Source organism: Homo sapiens, chromosome 1 (assembly GCF_000001405.40).
Source record: "Homo sapiens chromosome 1, GRCh38.p14 Primary Assembly".
Lineage (NCBI taxonomy): Eukaryota > Metazoa > Chordata > Mammalia > Primates > Hominidae > Homo > Homo sapiens.
In genome coordinates this window covers 55,235,811-55,246,715 of record NC_000001.11, presented here as the reverse complement: position 1 = coordinate 55,246,715, position 10,905 = coordinate 55,235,811, and the positions used below count along the sequence as shown (strand labels likewise).

The window sequence follows — 10,905 nt, the reverse complement described above, 5'->3', positions numbered from 1 at the left end:
AAGGCACTGGTGGAAGATTAAGAGCTAGAGAAGTGTGAGGTCAATATCTTTTCACTGATCCCTCTCTGCTGCTGCACAGGGGTTCTGGTAATGTATTCCCTCTAAGACCCCTCTGAGATGCCAATCCAGGCAGCTCCTCCTTCATGACTCCAGCTCCCACAAGGCCCCTTTAGGCCAATGGGCAGCAGACTTCTCCCTGTGGCTACTCCTGGGTGCCTCCTCAGCCTTAGCTGTTTCTCTAACCTGGCTTCACCTCTGTAAATAGGTAGCCTTTGTTCAATTCTTTTCCAAACTCCATCTGAATGTAGTGCCTGCTTCCTGCAGGGACCCTGACTGACACACCCTCCTTGTCCCCCTTTTCATTAGGAGACCAAGGGATAAACAGTTGAAAAGTTAAATGGCAGTATGAGTGAAACAATGATAAATATGTGAGAATACATTTAAGCAACAAACAGGCACGCTTACATTTTCTTTCTAACTTAGAAAAGTGGATTCCCAAAGTCCGTCTCAAAAACTCAGAAAGCTCAAAAGTTTTCTGTGGGTTATGCGGTGCAGCTCCTGTATTTTTACAAATATGGGTAAATTTCTGACTGAAAGACATTTTCAGGCCGGGGTGGCAGCTCACACCTATGATCTTAGCTACTTGGGAGTCTGAGGTGGCAGAATTGCTTGAGGGCAGGAGTTAGAAACCAGCCTAGTCAACATAGCAGAGATCCCTATCTCTAAAAAAAATTAAAACAAAAATTAGTCAGTCATGGTGATGTGCCTGTAGTTCCAGCTACTCGGGAGGCTGAGGCCCAAGAGGTCAAAGCTACAATAAGCTGTGATTACACCACTGCCCTCCAGCCTCAGCGACAGAGTGAAGCCTCAACTCAAAAAAAAAAAAAAAGACATTTTCAAATGTTGACTGGTGGAGAACTTTTTTCCTGCAATCTTGAGCACCACTGATTGACGTGGAGAGGTATGTTCATTTCAATGAGTAGGTTTCTACAAATAGGCATTAAGTAAAATCCTGAAGTAAGTAAAACTGCTTTTACTGTCCCCTTTCCTGCATTTCATGCTGTTCCTGGTGCTCAGGGTCTCTTCTTCCACAGCAAAGCAAGGTGAAAAGCTAAGACACCAAGCCATTAGTGACCTGTAACAGCCTTCGGATCGTAAAACAATTCCAGAACAGTAAGTAGATCTGGTTTTTACACAGAGACCTCTGATACCTCTATCCTCCCATGCCCCTATCTCTCTCTCTCTCTCTCTCTCTCTCTCACACACACACACACACACACACACACACACACACACAACACTGAAGCATTTGACAGAGCATACAGGTGGGCTTAACCTTGCCCAGTGGGCACAAGTCAAACCAGAGAGATACAATAGAAAAGAAATTATATATACACACACACACACCCCTCCAAGTATATATACACCTCCAGATATATATATACCTGGAGAAACAATAGAGAAACCATCAAGAAAAAGTGGATCTGGCCAGGCTTGGTGGCTCACACCTGTAATCCCAGCCCTTTGTGAGGCCGAGGCAAGTGGATCACCTGAGGTCCGGAGTTCAAGACCAATCTGGCTAACATGGTGAAACCCCATCTCTACTAAAAATACAAAAATTAGCTGGGCACAGTGGCAGGCACCTGTAATCCCAGCTGCTCTGGAGGCTGAGGCAGGAGAATCGCTTGAACCCAGGAAGCAGAGGTTGTAGTGAGTCAAGATCGTGCCATTGCACTCCAGCCCAGCCTGGGTGACAGAGCAAGACTCCATCTCAAAAAAAAAAAAGCTGGATCTAAGTGTTGAGCAATATTTGGTCAATGAGATAATTTAGTGGTGGTGGCTCAGAGTAGAAACAACATTTCCTCTTTCTTAAATGTTTTCTTTTTCAAGGCTGCTGGAATTAGGGGTGTCGTTTATTCCTCATACTTGTGTATAACCTGTATTCTGCCTAACCCACATTCTTTCTCTTTCCCCTGATGGTGCTGACAACTACTTTTTTGTCTCTTATTCATAGCTGTAGCCAGACTGCTCCAGACAATCTATTTGGCTCCCCAAACTTCCGTTTTTCATTAAAGGAAATGCTGTGGGGACGGTTTGTAACTCAAGGGTTATCTTTTTCAAAAAATTCCACTTCTGATTAATATGGCACCTTATAGTCACTGACAAGTAGACCCGTTAGGTGTGCTTTTATTATTTTTGAGACAAGAGAGTTGTGATACAGACATAAACTCTATTAAGGCTGATGGGTTGCTTAATACTGTACCAGCAAGGAGTACTAAAGTGACCCTACTCATAGAAACAGCGATCACTCACACCTCCCCCAAATAATGAAAACGGCACCTAGGTAAATGAGCAGACTGAGGTGGATAAAAAGATATATGACCACCCCCAACTTCAACTTAAACAGCTTCTCAGTGTCTGGGCCTGGCATTGAGACTCTCTGCAGACTGCCTCCTACCTGTGCCTCCAACCATCCTTAGCATCTTTTCCATCTGAGCCCTGTATCTTTAAATCAGCAGTCCCACTTCTGTGCCTTATTCTGGGAGACGATATGAGTGAAGACTCAGAAATTCATCACAGCCTTTGTTCCTTCCCTCTGTCATTCACAGAATATTTAGCATGCACCTATGTTCCTGGCATTGGTAAAGGAGGGATTAATTCACTATAGAGCTGCCTGGGACCCAATGGGGTAAGGCTGCCTAATTCGCCAGTAAGCATTGTCTAAACTACACTTCTAAACTATCCCTTGTTAGTAAGAAAGGTGATGTTTTTACTTCTGTCTTTACCCTTTTATTATATTTATTGAAATTGTCCAGAACCCAGGGGAGGAAGAGGAGTGCTTTTTAGTGTATGTGTGTGTGCACATCTGTGGGTGTGTGCGTGTAGGCTGTCCCTTGAAATCCAGCACCAGGCACTTTCTACCACTGGAGATAATACTATGAATAAGATAGCATGGTCCCAGTTCTCCTAGAGTTTACCTTCTAATAGAGGAAGACAAATAAACAAAGATAAATTCAGATATTGGCAAGTGCTGGGAAGAAAATGCACTAGAGAATAACAGAATGCTTTCAACAGGAGGTCAGGGAAGCTTCTCTGAGGAGGTGACCTGGAGGTGAGCCTGAATGATAACAAGACATGCAGTGAGATATGCGAAGAGCTATTTAGGAAGGAAACAGCAAGTAAAGCATCTCCCAGGTGGGAAGGAGCAGAGCATGAAGAGCACTGTGTCTGTGAAGGGAGATTTGTGTGCTTCAGCTCAGTTAATAAGATGAGGAGTGAGATGAGGTCAGAGAGAGCTAGGCAGGGAGCAGGTAACCTAAGGTAAGGAACCTGGATTTTCTTCTACTTGCAATGGGGAGCCTTGAAATGACTTAAAGTAAGAGAACACATAGAATCTGATTCACATTTTTAAACTTTTTAGTTATAGATTCACAGGGAGTTGCCAAAAAAAATGTACCCAATGGTTTCATATACCCTTCCCCCTTCTCCCCAATGTTAGCATCTTATGTAACTGTAGTACAATACAAACACCATGAAATTGACGTTGCTACAATCCACAGAGCTTATTCAGATTTCACCAGTAATACAGGTACTCCCGTGTGTGTGTGTGTGTGTGTGTGTGTGTGTGTGTGTGTAGTTCTTGCCAATTTTTTAACATGTGTAGCTTCCAGTAGCCACCACCACAATCAAAATGCACAACTGTTCCATTACCACAAGGCTCCATGGTATTACCCTTTGTAGCACTCCTACTCCCTCCCCACAAAATCCTAACTCCTGGAAAATACTAATCTGCTTTCCATCTCTGTAATTACAACATTTCAAGAATATTGTACAAATGGACTCATACAGTATGTAATCCTTCGAAATGGGCTTTTTTCACTCAGCAGAATTCCCTTTAGATCTATCCAACTAGTCGCTTATATCAATAGGCCCTTCCTTGCCAGATGCAGCGGCTCACACCTGTAATCCCAACACTTTGGGAGGCTGAGGTGGTCAGATCACCTGAACTCAGGAGTTCAAGGCCAGTCTGGGCAACATGGGGAAACCATGTATCTACAAAAAATTTAAAATCAGCAGGTCCCAATTACTTGGGAGGCTGGGGTGGGAGGATGGCCTGAGCCCAGGAGGTTGAGGCTGCAGTAAGCCATGTTCATGCCACTGCATTCCAGCCTGAATGACAGAATGAGACCTTGTCTCAAAAAAAAAGAAAATAGTCCTTTCCATTTTATTGCTTAGTAGTATTTCGTGGTAAAGATGTACCACAATATAACTATTCATCCACTGAAGGACATCTAGGTTGTCTCCATTTTTTAGCAATTATAAATAAATGCTTATAAATAAATGAACATTCATGCGCAGGTTTGAACATTGAGTATACACTTTCATTTCTCTGGAATAAATATCCAAGGGTACAGTTGCAACATTGTATGCTAAGTGAATTTATAATTTTTTTTTTTTTTTTTTGAGATCGAGTCTCCTTCTTGTACCCCAGACTGGAGTGCAGTGGCACCATCTCGGCTCACTGCAACCTCTGCCTCCCTGGTTCAAGTAATTCTCCTACTCAGCCTCCTGAGTAGCTGGGATTACAGGCACCTGCCACCACACCTGGCTAATTTTTGTACTTTTAGTAAAGATGGGGTCTCGCCATGTTGGCCAGGCTGGTCTCGAACACCTGAACTCAGGTGATCCGCCTGCCTTGGCCTCCCAAAGTCCTGGGATTACAGGCATGAGCCACTGCAACTGGCCGAATTTTTAGTTTTAAAGGAAACTGCTAAACTATTTTCCAGAGTGGCTGAACCATTTTACATTCCCACTGGGATTGTATTCTCGGTGATCCAGTTTTTTCACATCCTTAACAGCATTCAGTGTTATCACTATCCTTTATTTAGATCTTTGATTTCTTTCATCAGTGTTTTGTAATTTTTAGCATATGAATCTTGTACTTGTTTTGTTAAATTTATACTTAGGTATTTCATTTCCTTTGGAGCTATCATAAATGATATTGTGTTTTTAATTTCAGTTTCCACATATTCCTTGTTAGTATATAGACTTTTTTGTGTGTTCATCTTGTAACCTGTGACCTTACTGAACTTACTAGGTGTAGGAATTTTTGTTTTGTTTTGTTTGGGTTCTGGAGTAGATGCCTTGGGGGTTGTCTACATGGACAGTCATGTTGTCTGCAAATCAGGGCAAATTATTTCTTCCTTTCCAATCTGTATGTTTTGGCTTTTCTTCTACCTTGCGCTGGCTAGAGTTTTCACTACTGTGTTGAGTAAGAGTAGTAGGAGTGGGCATCCTTACTTTTTTCTTAATCTTAGAAGAAAAGCATTTAGTCTTTCATCATTTAGCGTAATATTACCTGTAGATTTTTTGTAGATGCTCTTTGTCAAGTTGATTCATTTCCTTCTATTTTTTTGAAAATTTTCATGAATGGGTATTGAATTTTGTCAAATGTTTTTTTCTTCATCAATCAAGATAATTATGTGAATTTTCTTCTTTAGTCTGTTAATGTTGTGGATAACATTATTTGATTTTCAAATACTGAAGCAGCCCAGTATCCCTGGAATAAATCCCACTTGGTCATGGTATATAATTTTTTATACATTGCTTGATTCAAGTTGCTAATATTTTGTTAAATATTTTTGCATCTAAGTTCATGAGAGATATTGGCTAATTTACATTTTTAAAAGATCACTCTGGTTTCTTGTGGAGAACAGACAGAAGAGTGAGAATGGCAGCTGAGAAACTAGGTAGAAAGCTAGTCAGAGTGGTCCAGATGTTATCCTGGATTACAGATATGTCAGTAGAGGAGATGTCATTGGAGTCAAGATATATTGTGGAGGTACAATTAATTGAACTTGGGCCGGGTGCAGTGGCTCACACCTGTAATCCCAGCATTTTGGGAGGCCGAGGCATGCAGATCACCTGAGGTCAGTAGTTCAAGACCAGCCTGGCCAAATGGTGAAACCCTGTCTCTACTAAAAATACAAAAATTAGCTGGGCATGGTGGCACAGCTACTTGGGAGGCTGAGGCAGGAGAATCGCTTGAACCTGGGAGGTGGAGGTTGCAGTGAGCCGAGATCCTGCCACTATACTCCATCCTGGGCCACAGAGCAAGACTCCATCTCAAAAAAAAAAAAAACAGAGAGAGAGAGAATTAATTGAACTTGTTTTGCTGTTGGATTAGCTGTGGCTTGGTGGGAAGGAGGACTGGTGAAGGAAAGGGAAATATTAAGGATGAGGAGTACCAGGGAGAATAGACAGATTCCATTCAATGAAATGGGAAAGGCAGGAGGGGGAAAAACTGGGCAGGGCGATGGGATGTAAAAATCAAGAGTACGGCCGGGCGCGGTGGCTCACGCCTGTAATCCCAGCACTTTGGGAGGCCGAGGCGGGCGGATCACGAGGTCAGGAGATCGAGACCATCCTGGCTAACACGGTGAAACCCCGTCTCTACTAAAAATACAAAAAATTAGCCGGGCTTTAAATCTTCTCCCTAGGACAAAATTATCTGACATTTTCATTTGTCTTCTTTATGACTTAGATTAACATTAATTTTACAGCTTTACTGATCCAAGTGTTGGCCTTGGACTAGCAGCAAGCATGGCTTTACCTTGGAGCTTGCTAGAAATGCAGACTATCAGGCCCTGCCCCAGAACTGCTCAATGAGAATTGGCTTCTTATGACCCCCAGGGGGTTAAGAAATGTTTAAGAAATGCTGTTCTAGAGCACACTGCCTCTTGTTGGCTCTGAAATAAAAGAAAAGTATCTTAATTATTGAACTTGTCATTATACCACTTCCTTAAATGAGCCATCTTCATGGTACTCAAGCTATACTCCTTTTTTCTTTTCTAAATCATTCTTTCCATTTCATTTTCTTCTTAATATTTTAAAAAAGAGACAAGTACAAGAACTAGCCAGGCTTTCATTCTTCCCTTGTCTTAGCATAAAATGTAAATGTGCATAGTCATTGTCTCATCTGTCTTGCATAGGTGCAACTCGACAGAAGAAAAAAACCATTTGTTTCCATAAATAGGTATTTAGCATCACTTGGAATATTATCAACCTGCCCTAGGAATCTTTTATCCCATTCTAGTTTTAGATTTTCTTTTATGAAAACTTAATTCTTCTCTTTTTCTAAAAATACTTCAAGTTTTCAGCCAGGCGCAGTAGCTCACGCCTATAATCCCAGCACGTTGGGAGGCCGAGGCAGGTGGTCAGAAGTTCAAGACCAGCCTGGCCAAGATGGTGAAACCCCATCTCTACTAAAAATACAAAACTTAGCCGGGTGTGGTGGCAGGTGCCTGGAATCCCAGCTATTCAGGAGGCTGACGCAGAAAATTGCTTGAACCCAGGAGGCGGAGGTTGTAGTGAGCCGAAATCGTACCACTGCACTCTAGCCTGGGCGACAGAGCAAGACTCCATCTCAAAAAAAAAAAAAGAAAACCTTTAAGTTTTCTACAAAACATTTATTCCTTAATCACTGAATCAATATAGTTCCCTTTTTGTTCACTCCTTTATTCCTTTGACATCTAGATGCAGGATAAATCTTTAAAATATGGGTTGCATTAGCAATTCTTTTTTTTTTTTTTTTTTTTTTTTTTGAGATAGGGTCTCGTTCTGTCACCCAGGCTGGAGTGCAGTGGCATGATCACAGATCACTGGAACCTTGATCTCCCAGGTTCAAGAGATCCTACCACCTCAACATCCCAAATAGCTGGGACTATAGGCATGTGTCACCATGCCCAGCTGATTTTTTATTTTTATTTTTTCATTTTTATTTTCTTAGTAGAGACAAGTTCTTGCTATGTTGCCCAGGCTGATCTCCAACTCCTGAGTTCAAGCAATCCTCCCTCCTTGGCCTCCCAAAGTGCTGGGATTACAGGCATGAGCCACCACACCTGGTAGCGATTCTTATTTGTTGTTTTTGCTTACTTTTTGTGATGTAAGAGGAAAGAAAATAAAGAATTATCATCTTATTCTTGTTTTCCCTAATATATTTGGGATATACCATAAGACAGAATGGTTGTTTTGTGAAATGATATTTGGAAGTAATCAATTTTGTTCAGATTTTCCATTGTTATTTCATGTGACTTATTTCTGCAGGTAAAGTCTTTAATTATAATTGAATAAATAACAAGAGGAAAAAAACCCTGTTAAATCTGTAAATACCCTGAAGCAAAAAGCATAGAAGAGATGTGATAGATTATCAACCCTCTTACATTTGCTCAATAAAATAAAAATATATGAAAAGACATTTATATTTATTATACCAAAATTCTGTTGGTTAGTAATCTTCACTGAAACAAATCTTGTATTATGCAACCTAAATATCTTATATTACAGTTTAAGCCTATTTTGTTTAATGCTGTCTTTGTGGATCAATGTGAATTACTGGACAACAAAAACCTTTTAGCAAATCTTGGTTGAAAAAAGAAAGGGCTTTTTTTTTCTGATATTTCTTATCTTGACTTACCTACTTCTAAAACAATTTTCCCACTTTGATTTGTGTACAATGCTTCCATAATTTTTGTTTGTTTGTTTTTGAGATGGAGTTTCACTCTTTTTGCCCAGGCTGGAGTACAATGGCATGATCTCAGCTCACTGCAACCTACACCTCCCGGGTTCAAGTGATTCTCCTGCCTCAGCCTCCCGAGTAGCTGGGATGACAGGCGTGTGCCACCACTTCTGGCTAATTTTGTATTTTTAGTAGAGACAGGGTTTCACCATGTTGGCCAGGCTGGTCTTGAACTCCTGACCTCAGGTGATCCGCCTGCCCCAGCCTCCCAAAGTGCTGGGATTACAGGCGTGAGTCCCTGCGCCTGGCCCATAATATCATTTCTGTCTTGATTTATAATTACTCCTTTAGCATTAATTTTTCATCTTTTTTGTATTTCCAAAATTTCCCTAATACATCTGAAATAAGTATCCTAAAATGCAGCCTGTGGCAAGATGCACATTATATTTAAATATATTAATAATGATAGGGATTTTATTTCTTGTTTCTTTAATTGGCATTTGTGAGAAACATGTTCTGGTTTAGTTTTGTTCAAAAAATGGTTTCCTGAATAGTCTTTTAAGCTTAATCTCGTATTGAGGATTTATTTTATTCTATCTGGAACTATATATTGAATGCCCAATAGGGAGTGAGGGAAATGAGGCTACAAAGAGTGGGGAAACAAAGTTATTATATTTTTATTTCTTATTGTAATAGCCATCAAGAAAATATTTTAGGCTGGGTGCAGCGGTTCACACCTATAATCCCAGCACCTTGGGAGGCCGAGATGGAAAGATCACTTGGGGCCAGGAGTTCAAGACCACCCTGGCCAACATGGTGAAACCCCGTCTCTACTAAAAGTACAAAAATTAGCAGGGCGTGGTAATTTTTACATCCCTGTAAGCCCATCTATTTCGGAGGCTGAGGTGAGAATCGCTCGAACCCAGACTGCACTCCAGTCTGGGAGACAGAGTAAGACTCTGTCTCAAAAAAATTTAAAAAAAAGAAAGAAAAGAAAATATTCTAGGTCGGGGCTGGTGGCAGATGCCTATGATCCCAACACTTTAGGAAGCCAAGGCAGGAGGATCACTTCAGTCCAGAAGTTTGAGACCAGTCTGGGAAGCATAGCAAGATCCCGTCTCTAATTTAAAATAATAATAAAACGAAAACATTCTAAGCTCTGTTTATTTTATGTGTAAGTAAGTTTCTAACAAGCTTAAAGTGTGTTATGTTCTAATAAACCAAACTTACTTGGCAAAAAAGAAGAAGAAGAGCACAGGCTAAATAAAACTCTGCCTCTTCCAGCCTTGCTTGCCATCCTGCATTTTTTTGCTTCCCTAGTCTCTTAGGTGCGACCTCAAAATTGTCCTTTAGATCTCTGAATGGATATCGTTCTTTTCACTCAACCTTGAGTTCCTTTCCGGGCCTTGATCTGCATTTGCTTCTCAAATTGCATCTAGCTCCTTCGAGTCCAGGTAATACCACAGTTCAGTTGAATATAACCCTGGTGACCCTAACCCAGAAGCTCCACTGGGTTTGTTCCAACTCCAACAAAAGGAATAAACTTTCCATTCCAGGCTTACATATCTTCTGTAGAATGTGTCATGTAACTAATTTATGCCTTACCCTTCCTTCGAAGTCCTACTCAAGTCCTAGCACCTCCTTAAAGCCTTTCCAATCATTCCAGTCATTGCTAAGTGTTCCTTCCTCTCATCTCTTATAGCTCCAATTGTCCATAATGTTCATTTCTTTTATTTATGTACATTCCACAAACATTAATTGAGTACCTACTATCTGCCAGACACTGAGCAGATACAAGGACGCTGCTGTGAACAATGAGATGCAGCTGCCACCCCAATGGAACTTGTGGGCTAATAGAAGACACAATATGAAACAAACATTTACGCAAGTATACACTATGTATGTGTGTGTGTATAGATATAATATATACACAAATATATAAATATAAATATTTGTGTGTATGTGTATATTTACAAATCAAGGTAAGTGCTATGAAGAGAAAGTATGAAGCATTCAGAATAGACTTCTCTCATTTATTTTTTTCTGTGAATATTCTAGTTTAATCATCAGCTCCTTGAAAACAGAGGTCATCTTTTATGTCACTTGGTTAAGCTCAGAATCTCACTCATAGTAGAGGTGCAGTGAGTTTTTATTAAGGATGATAGTGACAATGAACACTGTTGTTTGGGAATGACTCTTAAGTACCAAGAGCTGAGGAAATGACACTTCTCTCTGTATCCCTGCAAAACGAAAGCAGCCTATGAAGCGCATTCTTATTGCATTAGTTTCGAACACAAGAAACCACTTGTTTGTGTTTTATCTCTGGCAAGGATCTGAAAATCGTTTTGAAATTCCTACTTAATTATCCCAAATGTACATGCACTTCC

General features: G+C 40.7%; 1 annotated feature.

Moving 5' to 3' along the window:
* Nucleotides 5,913-6,412: an enhancer, noted in NCBI's record as "H3K4me1 hESC enhancer chr1:55705977-55706476 (GRCh37/hg19 assembly coordinates)". NCBI's record gives its function as "activates a minimal SCP1, AML or CMV promoter by ChIP-STARR-seq in naive H9 embryonic stem cells {active_cell/tissue: H9 hESC(naive)}" and the evidence as "EXISTENCE:reporter gene assay evidence [ECO:0000049][PMID:30033119]".